Here is a 23299-nt window from a genome sequence, read left to right on the forward strand (position 1 = left end):
AGAAAGGGTACAACCTTACATTGCCCTGTCTTCTTTCCTGCTGACTGGAGTGCATCATGATTGGAGCTGGAAAACCCATACTGGAGCATGAAATAGAAGCCACATGTTTCGTATGATGGATTTTTAAAAGAAAGTAAGTTTAGGTCCATGATGATCTCAGAGTAGCCATTCCAGCCCTGAACTTCCTGCATTCACGTGAGATAGAAATAAACATATATTTAAGATTCTGCCTTTACTTACACATGCATCTAAAGCAAACCAAACAAGCACACTATGGTGCAAATGCTTCATGGTGAGTTTAATCAACCTTTGTTGAGCATTTCAAACAATGACTTGGTGACCTGTCCCAAGTCTCCTCTGCTTCTCCCAGCAACTGCTCCCTTGAAACTCCCATAGCACAGCTTTGAAGGTACCTTCTGTGTTTTGTCATGTATTATACTTATTTGTGTGTATGTCTCGGTCTTATTATACAAACTTGAGCTCTTATTGTCTCATTTATTTTTATGCCTTTTATGTCTAAATGATTTACTAAGTATAAAACTGGAGAAACATATTAAGTGATATGTAATAACACATATCTAACACTCTTCCTGCTATTCATATTGCTTTTCATTTGCCTTCATGATGGTAAAAAACCCTCAGTAATTGATACATTTTGAGTATAAACATAGATTATAGCCATCTTATGATAATACTTTTATAAGCACAATGTACATAAGAAAATGTTTAATAAGTGCACATCATCGACAGGTAGGCCAGGGACTCACAGACATGTGAGGCATAAGCAGTCCTAGGGGAAGCAACCACATGGGCCCTTTGGCAAGGCTTACATGAAGCTGTTTGGTACAAGAAATAGGATTTGAGGTCAAAGAAAAGAAAAATTGTCTGCATAGCTATTTTGAAGGGAGAAGACATTTGGAGGAGTCCTTCAAGAATAGAATTCTTAAGAATTTTGTGTATCTACTTAACAAACAATAATTCCATTAGGATGGCCTTAGAGACCAATTTTTAAAGTCATTAATGTGTTTGAAAGTGGACAAGAAAGTGGTGTTTGTAAATGGCAAAAGGTATTTATTCTTTTCAGACATGAGTGACTGTAGGAGACTCTGTGACCCTGCTATTAGGTTTGTGCAAAAGTAATTGCTTTTGCACAAACCTAATAAAATTACTTAATTGTGCTTAATACAATACAGTTATTTTGCACCAACCTAATAAAATGAATAAGGATGTATTACTGGTCCCAGTAAAGCTGGCAGAATGGGCTTTGTGAATGGCAGCACTGTGGTCCTGGGTGGAAGGAGTTAATTTGACCTGTGGCTTGCATCCCTCATTCTGTATAATCCCCAAATTGTGCTGTAGATATACCCTGGGAAGCTAACTGTAAAAAGCTAGGAAAGAATGTTCAGGTGTGGGTGATGAGGCTCAGTGAGGGGCTGTGAGCTGCGTCCTTGGTACAAAGAGTTCAGTCTAGGCAAAGATTCTGAGAGTTGGCCTCGCAAACGTGCAGCACAGCAGACAGCTGCATCCCCAAGGGTCACCTGGGCCTTAAGAGAAGTAGAAGTTAGTAAGAAAAGCAGAAAAAAAAATTGGGGGAGAGGGCGGCTAAAGCAGATAATTTTTATGTGGTTGTAGAGAAAATAAGAAAATGGTAGCAGCAGCAGAAGAAAATGTTAGAAAACAAGAAAACAGCTGTCTGATGGTGGCAGGTGTGCTCTGAAGGAAAACATTCTGCTTAGTAGTTTCAGGGAGAAAAATAAGGAAAAATTAGGATACTGTAAGGAAAATGAGAATGGTTTGAAACAACCAGCAAACAACAAGGACCATTATAAAAGACATTCAAGAAGTCCTAAAATAGGTAATTATGAGTATAGAGCAAAAGTTGAGACCATAAAAATCCAGATGAATATTTAAAAAAGAAAAGAGAAAGCTTAAAGAAAAAAAGTGTTATGATAATAAGAGCTAACCTTTGCATAGTACTTACTCTGTGCCATGCACTGTTTTGAGTAATTTACAGATATTAATATATTTATTTCTACAATAATGCTAGAAAGCAGGTACTTTCCTGATTTTATACACAGAAAAAGTGAGGAACAGCAAAGTTGCAAATAAGAGCTGGATTTCCACACCAGGTGCTCTGGCTCAGAGGTCACATTCTTAACTATTAAGAATACTAATTCTAACCTTAATGAAATAACATTTCACAACTTTTTGGATGATTCTTAATAATAATAAAAAACAGAAAATAAGAAGTTACTATGCTTTGAATGTTTGTATCCTTCCAACATTTATATGTTGAAATTTTAACCCCAAAGGTGATGGTATTTGGAAGTGGGGCCCTTGGAAGGTGATTAGGTCATGAGGGCAGAACCCTCATGAATGGCATTAGTTCCCTGATGAAAGAGTTCCCAGAGGGATCCCTTGTCCCTTCTGCCATGTGAGGTTACAGTGAAAAGATGGGTGTCTAGGAAATGGGCTTTCACTAGGTACCACATCTGCTGACCCCTTTGATCTTAGACTTCCTAGCCTCCAGAACCATAAGAAATACATTTCTGTTATTTAAAAGCCACCCAATCTAGGGTATTTTGTTATAGTTGCCTGAATGGACTGAGACACAAGTTGAGACTCTTGCACATTGCTGGTATGAATGTAAAATGGTACAGACCTATGAAAAACAGTATTATGCTTCCTCAAGACATTAAATGTAGAATTACCGTATGGTTTAAAAATTCTTCTTCTGAGTCTATACCCAAAATAATTGAAACATTATATTTTCAGATATTTGTACACTCATTTTTATAAAATTATTTATAATAGCCAAAAGGTTGAAGCAATAGAAGTGCCCATAGACTGAAGAATGGATAAGCAAGATGTAGTGTATACACACACACACACACGCGTGCGCACACACATGCACATGCACACACACGCACACACACATGCGCAGACACACACACACACCACATAATAGTCATGGAATACTATTTGGCCTTAAAAAGGAAAGAAATTCTGACACATGCTACAACATGGATAAACCTTGAAGATATTATGCTAAGAGAGATAAGCCAGTCAAAAAAGGACAAATATCGTGTAATTCCACTTATTTGCAGTACTAGAGTAGTCAGATTCATAGAGAAGGAAAGCGGAATGGTGGTTGTCAGGGACTGAAGAGAGAGGGGAATATAGAGTTAGTGTTTAGTGGGTACAGAGTTTCAGTTGAGAAAGACAAAAAATGTGTGGAGTTAGATAGTGATGATACTTTTATCATACGATAATGCGAACGTACTTAATGGCGTACAATTGTATACTTAAAAATGGCTAAAATAGCAAAATTTATGTTGTATATATTTAACCACAATTTTTTAATAAAAGAATACTGCCCTGCTGAATTTAATTGGGTGCTATGAGAATTTAAAGGTTAAAAGACACAAATAGTGACTGAGAAAAACAGTCAAAAACAGAAGGAATGAAAATGTAGGTTATCTATATTTATGGGGATAGCATATATGTTTCCAATTTCACTTTTATTCTGTTACAAAGTTAAGTAGAATAGTAAATATTAAACAAACAATTTTAGAGTAAATCGCAGAAATAGAATAAATTTTTGTCAAAACTTATAAATGAGGGTGCATGTTGTGGTTTGAATGTATTCCGCCAAAGTTCATGTGTTGGAGACTTAATTTCCAATGCAGCAGTGTTGAGACATAGAAGCTTTAAGATGCCCTTAGGTCATGGGGGTGCTGCCCTCATGAATGGATTAATGTCATTATCACAGGAGTGGGTTAGTTATGGAGGGAGTGCACTCCTGATAAAGGATGAGTTCAGCCCCCTTCTGTCTCTCTGCATGCTCTCTTGCCCTTCTACCTTCTACCATGGAATGATGCAGCAAGAAGGCCCTCACCAGGTGTATGCCCCTTAACCTTGGACTTCCCAGACTCCAGATCTGTAAGAAATGTCTCTTTTCTTTATAAATTACCCAGTTGCTGATATTCCATCCACAAAATGGACTAAGACAGTGCAATTACTATAAACTGCTCTAAGAGAAACACCCTGAAATAGATGCCTTTAAGTAAATATTGCGGGTATTTTCTATGCCTCAGTCACCCTGTGCTATCTCATTAGGTATTACTGACCCCTCAGTACTAATGATACCTCATTTTCAGTAATTCTTTAATCACCATACAGGACATTATCCAAATTTGAATTTCATTATTTTTTGTCAACATATTTAGGGTAGAATATGCCATAAAGCACCTGAAACCAATACTTATATATAGTTTTTATCCCCAAAATTGAATATATAACATATGTCAGAAAAAAACAGGATAAAATGTCCTAACATGCCTATTATACTTTGCTGTCTCCTTGTCCTTAAAAGTAAAAATCTGGAACATCTCCAGTGACTTTTGGCACATTGTTTTATATGTTACTTTTATTTTAGTTTATGTATGCAAGAAAATATAATGGTGTAAAAACATAATTTTTTGGATAAGATCTCAACTGTTTTATATTCAACTTCAGAAATATATTAATTTTCTGCTTTGAAGATATTTCCTTAAAAGTTTAGAAAAATGTTTAATATAGTTATCTCTTAATAGGAAGAAAATTTAAACAGTAAATTTTACTTAAATATTTTCATTTATTTTCTCATTTTTAATCTCAGCAAACACATACATGGTGAAAAGAAAATTTTATTGAAGACAAAATTAACTTGTAAATTGAGATATTTTCCAAGTGTGAATCACCTACTTTATCTAATATTAAAGTTTTGGTGCAATAATCTAACCACCTTCAAATTGCTGAACTCTTATTTTTATTATGATACTTGATATTGTCACAGCAAGTATACTGACTTTAGAGTATTAAATATTTTGCCTTGTAAAAATATTGTTTTATAGGAATATCCAGAAAGCTATAAAAGGCACTTAAAATAGAAACAGTTGATAACCATTGCAAGCTCAATTTAGAGCTTTCACTCTCTTACTCTACAGTGTAATAGACTTAAATCACTTCCCATACAGAAATTCACATTTGACAGTCAGTGAGCTATGAAGTTTCCCCACATATCACAATTACCGCAACACCTGGACTAAATTTCTTTGTGATGATGCACTATGATCGTACTGTAAAGTGTTAAACAGCTTTCAGAATCTCTCATTCCTTACTTTAAAAAAAATGAGAATTCCACTGGAGTTGTATTGCACTGTATTTCAGAAACTTTTCTAACTTTGATTTAATATCAACTGACTTAGGTTTATTACTCATAGAAAGACCCATCTACACATTTGCGTTTATAAATAGATATTTTTTTCTGATTTTCTGCTTTTATCTAGGGTATTGGATATATATCTAAAAACATACATGGATTTAGATTTGCTTTATATAATTGTAACAGAAGAGATCTCTGGGCATTTTCATTTTTGCCCTAAAGTAGTTTGAAACAACTATAATGACACAGAAAGAAAGTGTAAACCTTTGAAATGATGCAATTTATCTATTCTTGTTAATTAAATGTACACAATAATAATGATTAATATGTGTCAAGTACTTTTCTGAAAAGTCACATTTTTTAATTTATTAATCCATGATAATCCTGTGAAATAGTTATTAGTATTATCCCCATTCTATGGATGAAGAAACTTATATAACTTGCTCACATCAATTAAGGAGCAAAGCTGGGATTTGAACCTAGAAGTCTAGCCCCAGAGTTGGTGGTGTTACCTGTAATTTGGAAATATTATAAGATGGAAATATTATAAAAGGGTCATTGTGTACTCTTTGTAACATTTTTCTGATTAGTATATAAGACACTTTTCTCTAAAGCCTGCTCTTTACAGTCGAGGGCTCTGTGTCTTTCCTAATGAACAAAGCAACAGGTGAGAGGAGATGTGCTATTTACTGACTCAGCCTTGCTTTATCAAAGGGATGATAAAATTGAGTGCAGGAAGCGGTCTTCTTCTGAATCACTGAATTTATTGAGAGATAAACAAAAGGGAAAATAGAAAAACTTCTTTTACCTATACTCGAAGGAAAATAACACTCAGAAACAAAGAGCACAGACAAAACTTGTAATTATAGAGCAAAAGGAAGTCATTTGTGAATTATTTGGATTAAGCCTCACTGATGTATTGAAATATTGGATAATTCATTGTTTAAAACCCTTAGTCTCCTGTGTTTTACAACTTGAACTCAGAAGTGTGTTCTTTTCCTTTATAATGGCAATACTGTTTCAAATATATAATTATATGAAATGCTTATCACATGACTTGGGCCCAAAGAAAGAAAGAGAAGGAGAAAGAGAGGGATGGGGTGGGTAGGAAGGAAGGAATAAAAGAAGAATGTGACTTGCCTAGTGACTTTTTGGTCAGACACTTACTAGCTATCTATTGGTTATAAAAGGCCCTCTTTCTAAGTGTCTAGGCACTTAGGACACAATACTGGTCAAGACAGGTACAGGTTCTGTTTTCATGGATCTCACAGCCTTATTTTAGGCAGGCACACTTCCTAAAACATAGAATAAATGCTTCTGGATCAGACAAGCATAAAGTAGTGTAGGGAAGAGAAAACAGAAAACATAGGGTAGGTTAAAAAAATAGACAGATGGGGTGCAGCGAGGGTCTTACCTTAGATTGGGGAAAAGCTAAACCAAGATTTAGTCAGAAAAAGGAAAGCCGAGGGCAAAGAGAACATTCCAGACTAATCAATTGGGCTGTAAGGAGAAAGCCAAACCTTACTTGTATGTCACAAAATATATAGAGCACACTTATTTTTACTTATTTGTTTTGGTAAAATGTTAAATAAAAGTAACAGCTACTGTTTTTCTGTGCTTTTATCTTCCATGCAACTTCTGCCATCCACCTTTATTTTCTCCTCATTAGCAAATGTTAAGTGTTTCTTTTTTCCTTAAATGTGAAGCACAAGTTAAAATAAAAACCATAGATTATGAATGTGTTTTTTACAAAGGAAAATTAGATATTTGCTTTTGCCCAATATCTTATCATTGTGTTATTCCCTTTCTTCATCCAAATACAAACTCACAAAGGGCATTTGAAAAGAGTGGCTTGTGAATAAGGCAAACAGCAGTTCTGCTAAATCCCAGTCTTACCAAGTGATCTGCTTTGGTACTCTAGGCTCCTACACATTTTTCTGACAGCTCCCACTTCAGTGTCCACCACCACCCTCTGAACTTCCCAGACATGGCTTTCCTGGTTGTGACTATCAACCAGCACATTTCTGCAACGTAAAAACACTCGGGCTTTCTAATGCTTGAACAAGCAGCTGTTTCAAGACCCTTGTATGACACATTTTTGCAATATTAGCAAGTTTAAGGGATTTGACTACTTTCCTTATTAGTGGCTGCCACTACTGACTTTGGCTTTTGGGACTGTAAGGGAAGAAAAACCATTATTTTTCCTCTACCTATTTTAGGTTCTTTCACTGAGACCCCACAAATTAGACTGAAAAAAGACAGATTAACAAGAAAAAATCAATCCAAAGTTTATTACTGCATGCATTGCACGTATACACAGAAGTACTCGTATACACAGAAGTACTCGTATACACAGAAGAACGCGTAACTAAAGAGTTACCCCTTTTAGTAACTCAAAGTAGTGGTTAGAACTTGGGGTTGAATGGCATTTTAGCAAATAAAGGTCTGTAAAGAAGTAACAAGACAATGGAAAAGGATTGGAATTCTAGGGGCTGCAAATTGTGGAAAGATAAATATGTGGGGGAACTAATAGAAGATAAGGGTTGGGTTTAGCAAGGTTTGTTAAGCAGTTTCTTCTGGTGCCATCTCTGGGTTGATAAGCATCTACAGTTGTTGACTCTGGTGCTTAGGAATTATCCTGCCCTTCTTGGTAGAGAGGAGAACAGATCTTCTCTACAAGAATAATTTTTCTTGTGCCTGCTTTTATTTTTTAATTGCTGCCAGCTCAAAATAATCATTATGCCAGGTTGGCATATTCTGGGATGGCATACACTGAATACCTTCAAGATTTTATTTTCCCAGATTAGACTGTGGAATGGAATGCTAATTTCTCAGATCAACGATCCTCACCTCATCCTTGTTGACTCTGAAAACGATCACACAGACCCTGTCATGTATCCTTGTTTCTTTCTCTCATCACTTACCATAATCTTTGTGTATTTTTGAAAACTGTGTTTGCCTGTTTGTTTTCTGTTTTGCTCACTATAATGCACATTTGATAGATCAGGAATCTGATCTGCCTTGTTTACCTCTGAATCTCCAGAGTCCATAATAGATGGTATTCAAATTTTTGATAAATTAATGTATTTATAATAAATTAATGTCTGGATTAATAATTGATTACTCAATAAATTAATAAAGTATATTTATATCTTCTCCCTTAGCCCAGTGCTTAGCATAATATATATAATTTACTAAATGATTAAAAGTTTCAAATAGACTGATGGAAATTACTACCATAAAACAACCAAATATAAGTAAAAGCAAACAAACATATAACACTTAAACATATTTAATTTTAATAGTATTTCAATATTAATTTTAAAATATTTAAAGTTTGAAAAATTTTAAATATTTAAGTCAGGTTTTTATTTTAAAATGTCTAGATAAATAACTCAAGTCTTTGTAGAATTTTTTATGAGTCGGAACTCACTTTTTGTTTTTGTCATTTCATCATTAGGGACCTATTTCCTCTTCTGAGAATTCAATTAAGGTGGAAAAATTTGGGCAGTTAGCATTACTCTATGTGTCAACTTATTTTATCATCTCAGTGGCACATGTGCAGAATTGCTTCTTCTATTCTCCTAGAAAAGCAATGTAAAGTTCTACTCGAGGGAAAGTTCTTCCTTCTTCGGGTGTCTAACATCAGGTGCATCCTGGGCTCACCACCTTGTGGTAAAAGTTCCAACAGTCCCATGGGTGTTTAGAATATCATCCAGAGGATCTGAGATGGTTGCTTCTAGCATTGTACTGAAGAGAGATAATGGCTCTATCAACCTCACTCATCAATATTGTCACTGAATTTATTTGTCATATAACAGCCCAAGGCATTATTGCTATCAGAATAACAGGAAAACATATTTTTGACTGAGTTGAATTAACTGGGGAACTTTCCTCATTACTACTGGTAAATTCTTCTTAAACTGGCTATCATTTATGTTGGATCTTGATACCTAAGTTGCTGGTGAACTAAGATGTTCTAATTAGTTATTCCACATGGAAATAATATGGGTTGTCCTCATAATATTGACCACGAGTACTAGAACTCACCCTATTAGGAGTTTCAACACAGTAGTTTCTTACATTTCCTCAGATAGCCTCATAGGATACAAGAAGGTGGGCATATCCTTCCTTAATAATTTCATTATATTTAGGAAAATCTGAAATATAAGGCAGAAATTGTTTTTTTAAAAAAAACTTTTAAGTTTAAGGATAAAAGTGCAGGATGTGCGGGTTTATTACATAGGCAAACATGTGTCACCAGAGTTTGTTGTACAGATTATTTCATCACCCAGGTATTAAGCCTAGTATGCATAGTTACTTTTCCTAGTCCTCTCCCTCCTCCCATTTTCCACCCTCCAATAGGCCACAGTGTGTGGTGTTCCCCTCTATGTGTCCATGTGTTCTCAGCATTTGACTCCCACTTATAAATGAGAACATGCTGTATTTAGTTTTCTGTTCCTGCATTAGTTTTCTAAGCATAATGGCCTCCAGCTCCATCCATGTCCCTGCAATGGACATGATCTCATTCTTTTTTATGGCTGCATAGTATTTCATCATGTATATGTGCCACATTTTCTTTATGCAATCTCTCTTTGATGGGCATTTAGGTTGATTCCCTGTCTTTGCTATTGTGAATAGTGCTCAATGAATATACGCATGTATATGTCTTTATAACAAAACTATTTATATTCCTTTGTATATATACCCAGTAATGGGATTGCTGGGTGGAATGGTATTTCTGTCTTTAGGTCTTGAGGAATTGCCACACTGTTTTCCACAATGGTTGAATTAATTTACACTCCCATCAACAGTCTATAAGCATTTCTTTTTCTCCACCACCTCACCAGCATCTTTTATTTTTTGACTTTTTAATAATAGCTATTCTGACTGGTGTGAGATTATATCTTATTGTGGTTTTGATTTGCATTTCCCTAATGATCAATGATGTTGAGCTTTTCTTCATACAGTTGTTGGCTGCATGTATATTTTCTTTTGAGAAGTGTCTGTTCATGTCCTTTGCCCACTTTTTCATGGGGTATTTTTTTCTTGTAAATTTCTTTAAGTTCCTTATAGATGCTGGGTATCAGACCTTTGTCAGATGCATAGTTTGCAAAAATCTTCTCCCATTTTGTAGGTTGTCTGTTTACTCTGTTGATAGTTTCTTTTGCTGTGCAGAAGCTCTTTAGTTTAATTAGATTCCATTTGTCAATTTTTGCCTTTGTTGCAATTGCTTTTGGCATCTTCAACATGAAATCTTTGCCTGTGCCTATGTCTTGAATGGTATTGCCTAGGTTTTCTTCTAGGGATTTTATATGTTTGGTTTCTACAGTTTGGGTTTTTATGTTTAAGTCTATAATCCATCTTGAGTTAATTTTTGTATATGGTTCAAGGAAGAGGTCCAGTTTTAGTTTTCTGCATATGGCTAGCCAGTTGTCCCAGCACCACTTATTGAACAGGGAATCCTTTCCCTATTGCTTGTTTTTGTCAGGTTTGTCAAAGATCAAATCATTGTAGGTGTATGGTCTTATTTATGGGTTCTCTATTCTGTTCCATTGGTCTATGTGTCTTTTCTTGTAACAGTACTATGCTGTTTTGGTTATTGTAGCCCTGTAGTACAGTTTGAAGTCAGGCAGTGTGATACTTCCAGCTTTGTTCTTTTTGCTTAGGATTGCCTTGGCTATTCAGGCTCTTTTTTGGTTCCATATGAATTTTAAAATAGTTTTCTCTAGTTTTGTACCAAGATCTGGCAGAGATACAACAACAACAACAACAAAAACTTCAGGCCAATATCCCTGATGAACGCTGGTGCAAATATCCTCAATAAAATATTAGCAAGCCAAATCCAGAAGCATATCAAAAACCTTATCCACCATGATCAAGTTGGCTTCATTCCTGGGATGCAAGATTGGTTCAACATATGCAAAACAATAAATGTAATTATCCCATAACAGAACTGAAGAGAAAAACCACATGATTATCTCAATAGATGAAGTAAAGGACTTCAATAAAATTAAACGTTTCTTCATATTAAAAACTCTCAATAAACTAGATATTGAAGGAACATGCCTCAAAATAATAAGAGTAGTACATGACAAACGCACAGCCAATATCATACTGAATGGGCAAAAGCTGGAGGCATTCTCCTTGGAAACCAATACAGGACAAGGATGCCCTATCTCACCACTCCTATTCAACATAGTGTTGGAAGTTCTGGCCAGGGTAATCGGGCAGGAGAAATAAATAAAGTGCATTCAAATAGGAAATCAGACTCTCCCTGTTTGCGGATGACATGATCCTGTATCTAGAAAACCCGACTGTCTCAGCCCAAAAGCTTCTTAAGCTGATAGGCAACTTCAGCAAAATCTCAGGATACAAAATCAATGTGCAAAAATCATTAGTATTTCTATACGCCAACAACAGTCAAGCCAAAAGCCAAACCACGAATGGAATTCCCATTCACAATTGTCACAAAAAAAATAAAATTCCTAGGAATATAGCTAACAGGGAAGGTGAAAGATCTGTACAAGGAGAACTACAAACCACTGCTCAAAGAAATCAGAGATGACACAAACAAATGGAAAAACATTCCATGCTCATGGATAGGAAGAATCGATATTGTTAAAATGGCCATACTGCCTAAAGAAACTTATAAATTCAATGCCATTCCCAATAAACTACCAGAAATTCTTAATACCAGGTGTATATAATTCAGGTAAAAGTCAATATTCAGTATTGACATAGGAAGCTAACTATCAAAATTAAAGAATAAAAATTAAGAATTTCTATATTGATATGTAGAATAAACCTACATAGGCTTTTCTGACACTGTGCTTTCTATTGTCTTTCCCATTAGTCTGTGATTTTCTATTGTTCTCATGGAGACACTCATTCTCAGAGGGCAGCAATAGATTATGGGGTTCACTATCTTAGCTGTTTGTTAGTGGGCATCATCTATTTTCATCTGTGGCTCACCTTGTGAATTTTATGAGACATAAAAGGTACATCAGTTTTTGTTTTTGTTTTTATGTCTGTAGCTGCTTTTCTCTTTCTCTCTCTATTCCTGGAAATCTGCTCCACCTACCAGTTGGCATATCATTTCCCAACTCCACTGGTAGCCTATTCTGTTTAAGCAAAGCACAGATTTATTTCATCCTGACATATCCCATAAGAATATATGACTATGATGGCTTCTATTTTAAGATTTTATTTTTTATTTTTGCTATTTTAGAGACGCAGAATCTCTTCTTTGTACAGCTTGATTTTGATGAATCTTAATGAGATAACTTTTTGTGCAGGACTGTGGGTACATTTTCTGTTGGGCATCAAGACTAATAGCAATGTTTTTTTGTTTTAATAAGCCTGTTTGCCAATTTTTTTGGGGGGGAATAATAGAAAATGAATTACATTTGTAAAAATTTTGGAATGCCATTTGTTATTGCTTCTCAGTGTTTACTAAATAATATTTTTGGCTTATAGTTGTCAAGAGATGTTAAACATGTTGCAATGGAAATTAATTATCTGATATTTTGAGATTTTACATTCAGACTTGATGTAAAAAAATGAGCCCGAAAACAAAAATTATAAAAATGTAACTGTAAAAATTGTAAGCCTGAAAGTAGAAATTAAGTGATCAAGAATTTTTGGTAATAAATATTTAAATAAACTTATCAGGAATAAAAAGTTACATAGCATTTTCTCTAATAATATTTTAGCAAACCTTTAAAACTCTAAATTGGAACATAAATATTTATATTACACATTTGTATAAACATAGGTTTAAGAAAACATGTAATTAAAATATCTTAATCTCTCTGAAATACCTGAATAAATGATTAATAATAAATCTGTTAAACACACTTTATTTGTAGACAGTGGACAAGTTTGCCACTGCTATCAAAATTTATGTTAAAAATAATAATCATTGAAAAAAGTTCAGTTTAAGACATCAAAATTTTATCACATTTTACTCATTACTTTTTTAGCCGTATTCTGCATTATTTAGTTTCCAGCACAGCAGAAACATTTCAATACTACCTACAAATACTCTTTATACCAATACAGGTCTCTTATATTCTTGGAGCTGAAGCTTTTATTTGTTGCTCAGATGAAATTTCATTATCATGCTGTGAGAGAGAATTTGGCTTGTGTAAATTGAGAGAAAGCTTCAATAGACATCGCTTTAAACACAGATTTTCTTATACAGTAAATTAAAACTTATTTTTCATAGGAAAGTCATAATCACTGGAATTTCTTTTCTGACTATGTGTGGTATAATACATTGAAATGTCAAAAGTTCAAAACCTCATATATACCTGTGATATAAAACATTTACTACCTTGAGGGAATTAAAAGGCATGTCTTCCTCTCTTTAGAGTTTAAGACAATTGTCATATTACTCATAATTTTCATAGTGAAACCTTCTTTCATTAGGTGGTGGTTTTTTATTGTCACATTTAATCTATTAGTTGTCAAACATTTTTGCTAAAATGTTTTCAAAAATGATATAACCCCTCATAGTTTTTCATTCTGACACTTAAATTTTATATTTAAGTCATTGCCAAGATAAAACTTCTGGGGTGTTGTGTATTATATCTATGCTTCAAATATATTTTCATCACAGTCTTGGAGGTACAATTTACTGCATTTAATTTGTGGACATTATACGGCAATTTATAGTCTTTGTTATACAGAGCAGCCAAATAGAATTACTCCATCTGAAAATGTGTGGCTTTATTATTAAATTTGAATTTATGTGTTAATATGTATTACTGGGGAAACAATCTCTTTTCCTGAATGCTAACTCTAAATAGAGAGACTGTTTATGTATATAAATAGAATGCCATCCTAACTTTGTGGCATTTGAGAAATGTGAGGCCTATACTTTCCATTTTTTTTAATAAGCTATTTGTTTTATTCTCACAATACTCACCTTAGAGCAATGCATTCTTACAATACACCTTTGTTTAGTTCCCTGGAGGTAGTTAGAAAGATCATTCTGTCTGCATTATAGAAAATAAATGACAGTAAAGATAATACCAGAGCTAGTAAAACAATTGGGTGGATGCTATAGCAATGCAGGCGAAAGAGGTGATGGCCCTGACATGAACAGGACGGTGACGATGGGAAGAAATAGACATACCTAAGAAATATATGCAAAGCATGATAAACAGAATGTATTGATTGCTTGGATGACTCTATTTTACCTTCCAGCGTCCTGACTTGAGAAACTGAAAGATTGATGATGATGTTTACCAAATCAGAAAACACAAGTGATGCCACTGGCCTGGCCAATAGGAAGAAGAGATGATGAGTTCAGTTTGGGAAATAGTTTTAAGGTCCTTTGTGGCATCCAAGTCCAGAGCTAAGTAGATCATAAATTGTATAAGTCTGAGCCTCAATATATCTCAGAGGTAGGAGGTCAATATTTCTCCTCCAGTTAAGCAATTTCTGAAATCAGCTATTCATAATCTTTACTTGATTAATTATAAAGATAGTCACATTGGTCCTGATTACACACTTGTATGATTCCTCTGCTACCTACTATTCAACATATTTAACTCAATTTCTATTAAACATCAAATTGAATTTATTCATTTATTCTTTCATTCTTCTTTAATAACCTTTTTGGGGAAAATATATGGACCGAAAATTACAGAAACCATGCACATATCACTCAACAAATTCCCTCAACCTGAATACATTTAAGTAAACAATTGCTCTTCAGAGCAAGAAATAGAATACCACCAATATTACAAAAGTCCTCTCATAGCCCATCTCAATCACTTCCATCTCCTCAAAAAAGTAACCCATATCCTAAGTGCTAACGTTATAAATTTACCTGTTTTCTTGTTCTTTGAGCTTCATGTTGTGGAGAGCCATTTTGGAACCCCAGAGTTAGTACGAAGTTTATTTTAAGCTAAATACAGCCAAAACTTCAACAAATGCCAAAATAGTCCTTCTCAGAGCTTTTCTTATCTGACTTAAAGGGGCAATATTGTGAAATCAAGCTACCACAAATTTCCTCTCTGGGATAGTTTAATGGCCATGAAGATGAGAGAAAGACCACTGACATCTGCATAAACAACGTTTTTTATTTCCAGTTTGTTCTAAAAATCTATTTATCTTTGCTAAAGAAACCTATTTATTATTCCCATAGAAGAATTTTCTCCTTCTCCGTTTCTCTACCAAATTAGGTGTATAAACCTCTAACTTTAGCCATTTAGCCAGCTAGCTATTTCTTTAGTAGCTCCATATGAATATGAATAAACATTTTTAAAAAAATCTTTTAAATCTATCTTTTGTCTGTTTAATTTTCAGGTTTCCATCATTGAACATAGAGGGTAGAGGGAAAGTTTTTTTTTTTTTAATCCTAACAATATAGATAGAATTATAAATTTTTTCTTTATATGTCTGGCATTTTTGCTTAAAATCATATTTCTGTGATTAATTTATTTTTATTGCTGAATTAAAAAATATTCTTTGTATGAAATCACAGCAATTTATCGATTCTGCTATAGAAAGAATTTTAGGTTGTTTCATTTATTCATAGTTCATCAATGTGCATACCATGTATTTATTGAGTACCAATTTTGCCCCGCTATACTAAGATAAAAAATACATATAAGACACAGTTCATGCTCTCAAGGGACTTATACTCCAATAACAGGAATAAAAGATAAATAAATATAACCAGTGCAAATAATATGAGATTGTTATGGACAAAATAGAATATACTAGGGCAAAGAAGAATTTTGCTTAAGAAATGAGATCAAAGAACAACTGAGGAGTAAGAGACCTTTGATCTAGAAGCCTGAGCAGGCAGTGGATAGAGGAGATAGCATGTGTAAATAAATTTAGGAGTAAAAAAATGGCAGGATTATGAACAGTAATTCCAAATGCACTGTTTCTGTTTTTGTCATTTTACTTTTTCTGTTTTTTTTTTTGTTTTTTTTTTGTTTGTTTTTGTTTTTTTAATGGAGTATTGTTCTGTTGCCCAGGCTGGAGTGCAATGGAGCAATATTGGCTCACTGCAACCTCTGCCTCCCGGGTTCAAGCGATTCTCCTGCCTCAGCTTCCCAAGTAGCTGGGACTATAGGCATGCACCACCATGCCCGGCTAATTTTTGTATTTTTAGTAGAGACAGGGTTTCACCATGTTGGCCAGGCTGGTCTTGAACTCCCGACCTCAAGTGATGCGCCCGCCTTGGCCTCCTAACATGCTTGGATTACAGATGTAAGCCACCGCCCCCGGCTTGTTGTTTTTCATAGAGAAAGGGTTTTGCTATGTTGCCCAGGCTGGCCTTGAACTCCTGGGCTTTAGCAATCCTCCCATCTCAGCCTCCTGAAATGCATATTATTTTTAAAAATGTGATTATATGGTGATGTTGATGATGCTTCAAATAAAGTTTAGAACCAAATAATGAAGTTAAGAGTATTTTTTATTCAGATTTTTATTTTTAAAAGGATGGATTTTTTTTTTGTAGTGATGAATGTTACTATAGAGAATACAATTGATGGAGACAAGGGAAAAACATAAGAAACCAATGCAAGAGTCCTATCAAAAGATGTAGATGGGAATAGAGGAGAGGTGCTAAGATAAGGAATAAATGGAATTTGAATTTTGATTGATGGAGGACTCAAGTAGTTTTTCAATTTTTTAGCAAATAATGTTAATCTCAATATCTAGGCTGAGGAGAACATTTTGCACAAAAAATACTAAGTTCAGCTGTGCATTTGTTGAGTTTGTGTTGGTAGAATTATCTAATAAGCATTTGTTCCCAGAGTTCTGGAATTTAAATTACCAGTGTTAGTGAATTTTGTGGTAGGAATACAATAATACAAAAATTGAGGGAAAAAATGGCAAGGAAAAAAATTAAGAGTTGGTCCTGGGGACTATGAGAACTTAAAGCAGAGAAGGAGGAAGCTGGACTATATGCATTCCTTTAGTTGCATATATTTTTATAGTCTGTTTTGATTATATGTCATCATTATCCATCACAGATTATTTAATTTTGTATATAACAAGAGCCAAGAATAATTATCTCTACAGTATACTTAACACTACACTACATAGTGTGTATTTGCAACCTATAAATATTTATTCTCATGATAACTAATCAATCTGTTTTTTTTTTTCTTTTTCTTTCTGACATTAGATGAACAAGTGCGAATCCATCATTCTTCTCAGGTTCTGGAAAAATGCTGGTTTTCAGCTCCTGGAAAATTCTCACAAGACATCTGTTTTGTTTTATATCTTCATTTGTTTCCATTCATCTTTCCTACTGTAGACACTGTCTATGATTTTTTTGTGTGGGGGTTTTGGCAAAGTGCATACGATTACTTTGAATTTAGAGAATTAAATTGTATTTATCCACTGAAAGCTGTTTTTAAGATCTAGCTGTGTTGTCACTTGGATATCTAGTTTATTACTTCTACTTGCAAAGTAGTACAATGAGATACCAAACCACCATATTTTTTCCATCTATTTTCTCAATTATGGACACTTTTCAACTTATTACTACAGTAGGGAAGTTAAAGGCTATTTGAATTATTGGAGAATAGAGATACCTAGGATCAGAATTACCAAGTCATAGACCGAAACTTTGGCTAAGACCTAAACTTAATATGGGTAAATATTGTTACATTGCTCCCTAGAATATTGATATGGTTTGGATTTGTGTCCCCACGCAAATCTCATGTTGAATTGTAATCCTCAATGTTGGAGGTGGGGAATGGTAAGGGGTGATTAGATCCTGGGGCAGATTTCCCCCTTTGCTGCTGTTCTCCTGATAAGAGTTCTGACAAAATCTGGTTGTTTTAAAGTGTTTGGCACCTCCCTGTTCTCTCTCCTCCTGCTCCAGCCATGGGCATTGAGGCTCCTTTGTCTTCCTCCCTGATTGTAAGTTCCCTGAGGCCTTCCCAGAAGCTGATGCCAGCATGCTTCCTGTACAGCCTGAAGAATCATGAACCTAGTAAACCTCTTTTCTTTATAAATTACCCAGTCTCAGGTATTTCTTTAAAGCAGCGTGAAAACGAACTAATATAAATATCTTAAGCAGTGTTTAGCCCTTCCAGAATTCTCTAAGTGGTGAAACCAGGGGACACTCTTAAAGGAAAAGACAAATATAAGCACAAAATAAAATATAAAAATAAATACATGTTTAAAGAAAAAAAGAAATCACAACAAATTTCTATTTAAGCATAGTTGACGAACATAAGAATATCATGCCATCCACGAAAAAAATATTATTTAACTACCTAACATATTCATAAAACACTTTTTTCCTAGTTTTAAAAAATGTATTACTTTTAAATTTCTTGTTTATATGGCAATAATTTTGAAATATCATCTGTAGGTAATGGAAAGATCATTAAACCATCCTTTACTATAGTTGAGTGAAATTAGTTATTTTTATGATTATTGATAGTTGAGGTGTATAAAGCACAGGTGTCTCGATTTTTTTAATACTGGTACACATTGTTTCTTGAAATTTTCACAAATTATATTTCACTTAACTCTTATCAAAAGCTTATGAATGATATGTTTGTGATAGTAAACACTGCATTATGGATTACATTTTGCAAGAGAACACTCTCTTTTGATGACGTGTCAATGAAAACAAAATTCTTCCTTTATTATTTTACATGTTTAATGATTGAGATAATATTACACAGAACTGCTTCTTGCTTGCACTTTTAAATACGTGTTTCTTCTTCATATCCTCATACTTTTAGTGCTTGATGTTTTAGGACGTATTTACATTGTGATAAGACCTTTGGGCTGACATCATCATGTTACGATACTAGGTAGGGAGTAGGGTATTCCTGGAGCCATTTCTACATTGGAATGAGTAGCACCAACTTAATTATATATTAAGTTATGATTTTTGGCTATATAGTCTTTGACCATTTATCCATATGACAATAATTTGTAATATAATTTTCTATAAAGAATATGGTATTATAAATGCAAAATATATTCAATGAAATCCAAAATAAATGTATCTTCTTCAACTTAACTTTGACTTGCTCAGATACCAAAAATATATGCAGCTTCTCCAATAGTATTTGACACAGGGCAAGTGTGATAGCAAATGCTCTACCTACTGGCTGGTTACAAGTTCTAAATTTGGGAATGGAGTGATGAAAAGAAACCATCTCCAAGATAATGAGATCTGAAGAAAATTATGACAGGAATATTAAGAGTTTGTTTACCAGCCATCCTAAGAAATATTGAACATCTGATATTGCTAAGAATCCCATTATAAATTGTACAAAATGTTCAACAATGAAGGGACAGTTATTTGCTTTTTTGCAGTTAATTACTTGTATAATATAAATGTATGACTTTGCATAGCACAGTGTCTTAAAGCAAAACAATGTTCTTCCTGAAGAAACCAATGAAGATGAAATGTCACTGGTATGGTGTGCATTGTTTTTTTAAACTACATCCTAATTAATTAGGACATTTTCCACTTGAAATAGAAGCTACAGTTGTAAAAATATACAAATATACCTGTATATAATTCAAATGGTATATTATGTTGTTTTTATCACGATTTTCACTCTTAAATGCATCTTGACTTTGATGAGAGAAGTGATACAAACATATTAGTGAAAAATAATAAGCAACAAACAAACCAAAATATGAACAAGTGAAAATGGTACTCTTCATCATGTTCTACTAAAAATTCATGTTCCATTATCTAATGGTATTTACTTCTAGTTACTCTCAATTTGCTTCAGATTTCAATGGTTGACTTTAGAGTTAAAGATGCCATTTCCTTCTCCTATAATCTCTAACACATCCAACGCTGGAACAGCAATATTTAATGGGGAACATTAAATACTTTGCCCTTGGCACAAAGTGGAGATGTCTCTTTGTACTAGTCCTGTGAACATATCAGCCTCCAGAACGAATGATGGCTCTATATTTCACATCTTACACAGTGATTTCCTGACTTATCTGTTATTTTACAGATTGTAAAACCAGTATTGTAGTTATGAAGATGAACTCTGGTCAATACATCAAAGACGTGAAGAAAATTAGGGTAGAACTATTAAAATTTGGCCCTCAGTCAAGCAAACAAATCTAACAAATATTTCACTTTCATTACTGCTTATGCATACACGGAATGATTCTTACTAAAAGTTGTAAGCAAAGGAAGATTGAATAGAATACAAACAAGTGTTACCTTCCAGATAGAAGTAACCTAGAGAAAATGACTTTTAGTACATTTGCTAGGTTAAAGTAATTTAAAAACTTGTGGGCCAGGCGCGGTGGCTCATGCCTGTAATCCCAGAACCTTGGGAGGCCGAGGCAGACTGTTCATGAGGTCAGGAAATCGAGACCATCCTGGCTAACACAGTGAAACCCTGTCTCTACTAAAAATACAAAAAATTAGCCGGGCATGGTGGTGGGCACCTGTAGTCCCAGCTACTCGGGAGGCTGAGGCAGGAGAATGGCGTGAACCTGGGGGGCAGAGCTTGCAGTGAGCCAAGATCGAGCCACTGCACTCCAGCCTAGGTGACAGTGCGAGAGAGACTCCATCTCAAAAACAAAAACAAAAACAAAAACTTGTTTAGGTCATTGTTTTCTTAGTTGAGGTTGATATCGAAAGTCACATAATAGTTTTTTATTTGTAGGTTGAAGTAAGGAACATAGATGGTAGAGAAAGAATAAAGATAACACAAATAATACAGGCGATGAAACAAGAAGTGTGCAACTGGCAATTAGCTAAAATCTTTGGCATGGTCTTGAAAAGATCCACTGAAATTCAGATTGACTTCAACGATTGCTATCTTATGTATGAAGCTGGTTTTGTACTTAGAGCTCCTGATCTCACTGTGAGACCCTCAGCACAGTGCCACCCACTGAGCATTTCATTGACCTAGCAATGAAGAGGCCCAACATCTCTGAATTAATGAGAATATCAGCTTGACACCTTTAGATAGATTAAAAACAAAATACCTCTTTAAAATATAGCCACAGCTTGAAGAATTAGAATGTAGTGCAGATAAATCCTAAGCCCCTGTGTTTTCCTTTAGTATGGGCAGTTAGTCCTGGTATAGATGGAAATTTCTCTTAGTAGGTAATTTAGCAGAATACCTAAGAATGCTGTATTTTATTATGAAATGATTGTAGCTGTTCCCCTTTAGTGATTAAACAGTGAATTATGACCCTGAGTGATAGTAAATTTAAAACTTGTTAACAGCTTTTAATCTTTTATAGGTTACTACGAAGAAGCAGTTCATGTGTGTGCATGCGTGTGTGTGTGTGTGTTAAGCAAATGATAAATCAGAGACAAATCAAAATAGATTTTAAATAGCTTTCACAATGTGAAAATGACAGGGATTGTGAGTGAATAATTTAATTAAGGTCCCTTTAAGAGGCACATAAGATTATGAATAGTTAACTAACAAATCATGCATGAGGCTCCATTTCCTTTCCTGGCATTGTGTGGTCACCTAAATACACTCCTCTAGTGTACCAACAGGTAACCAGGAGGAAAGGAGGCAACTTTTCAAGGTGCACCCATCAGGGCTCTGTACAGAAGGAGCCTTTCGTGTGTCTGTATTTAGTCAGGTCTCAACTATAGTCCTAATTGTAGTTCAAGGCTTACCTTTCCAATAACGCTCCTACCGAGCAGTCCAGACAGAGTATCAGATAGAAAAAGGAGTAGAATTGAAATCAGGATTCTGGGCAGGTTAAATCTGCTCTCCACCTCAAATATTTTAGGCCCTACACTTGAAATTAACTTTTATATTCATTTAGTTCAGTCAATTAAAGTCTGATTTTTAGATGAGCTGTCAGGATTACTAATTTGCACATCCAAGCTAGGTTTATATCATTCTTTCCTAAGACAACACTATTAAAATATAACTAAGTTTGCTATTTTTTTAAAAAAAGAGTTAAGTGTCAGCGTGTGGGAAAGCAGAGATCTCCAGCCAATTTCCTACATTAGTTGTAGTAACTAAAATTTTCAAAACAGTAATGAAAAATGTTATGCAGAATATGAAATGACAGCTACTGCCCAATACATCTATTTCATTTCTTCCCTTAATCTACTGACACTATCTTTACTTCCTTTTCTCCCATAACCTTTTAATCAACTTCTATTTAGCTTTGTCTCCATTACTTGATCGAAACAACTCTCCTCCAAGTTGCCTGACAATTCATGTTACAGACTCTAAATAATACGTTTTTATTCTCATCTGTTTGAGCATTTTCCCCTTCTTTATAAATAAACTGATCTTTTCTTCTGGAATGAGCAGTATCTTAGTTTCCTCCCATCTGTGCCTGTGCTAAGTGTTCAAGTTACTAGAGCTTGATTCGAAATTTTACTCTGTAACTCTGCTCTGTCCCTAAAATGTCCTCCTATATTCCAGTGGCATTAAATATAACCTATATGCTCACATTTCTCAAATTTACATTTTTATATCAAACTTCTTATCTTAGCAGTAAGCTCATATATTCAAATATCTTCTTATCATAGCCTATTGAAATTTCATTCAGATATCACAAATATACTATGCCCTAAGAAAAGCTCTTGACTCTATTCTTGACTATATTTTACTTTACTCTGAAATTTTTGCCTCTCATAGGCTTTGCCAGATCAGCAAATGCCACCACAATTAGCCAAACTGCTTAAGCCACAAAACTGAAACTCATACGGATTCCGCTACTCCACGCCCGCTAATATTTAATCCAACAGTGTTGCTTATAGACCTCAAATCTACTTTAAATCCCTCTGCTTAGCTCCAATTTGATTGCAATCAAGGTAATCCAAATCATAATCAGTTCTCCCCTAATAAACTGCTTTCTAATTGATCTTGCCATTTCCAATTTTACTTTTCTTAAACTAATTGTGCACATAGCAGCCAGCACAATGTTTTAAAAACTTAAATTAAGGCTTGCCTAAAACCTTTTGGTGGCATCTTGTTGTAGGTAGAATGAAACAAAAATGCCTTGGCACGTCCTACATAATCCTTTGTGATCTTATGCTACCAACTTCCCCTCCCTCCTTCCTTTCTCTCTACCTTTTGCACTCTGCACTCTAGCCCCATTGGCCTTTTTTTTCAAGTTTTAAAG

The 23299-nt window shown here is 34.5% G+C and overlaps 1 long non-coding RNA gene across 1 annotated transcript in view; it reads left to right on the top strand.

Annotated features, from left to right (window-relative positions):
- LINC02267 (long intergenic non-protein coding RNA 2267) overlaps positions 1 to 17514 on the top strand; it is a 507713-nt gene extending 490199 nt beyond the window's left edge. Inside the window, exon 4 of the long non-coding RNA NR_147149.1 lies at positions 17364 to 17514. This is a non-coding gene — a long non-coding RNA (long intergenic non-protein coding RNA 2267). The remainder of the gene's footprint in view (positions 1 to 17363) is intronic.
- Positions 17515 to 23299: the final 5785 nt, after the last annotated feature.

This window comes from Homo sapiens, chromosome 4 (genome assembly GCF_000001405.40).
Source record: "Homo sapiens chromosome 4, GRCh38.p14 Primary Assembly".
Lineage (NCBI taxonomy): Eukaryota > Metazoa > Chordata > Mammalia > Primates > Hominidae > Homo > Homo sapiens.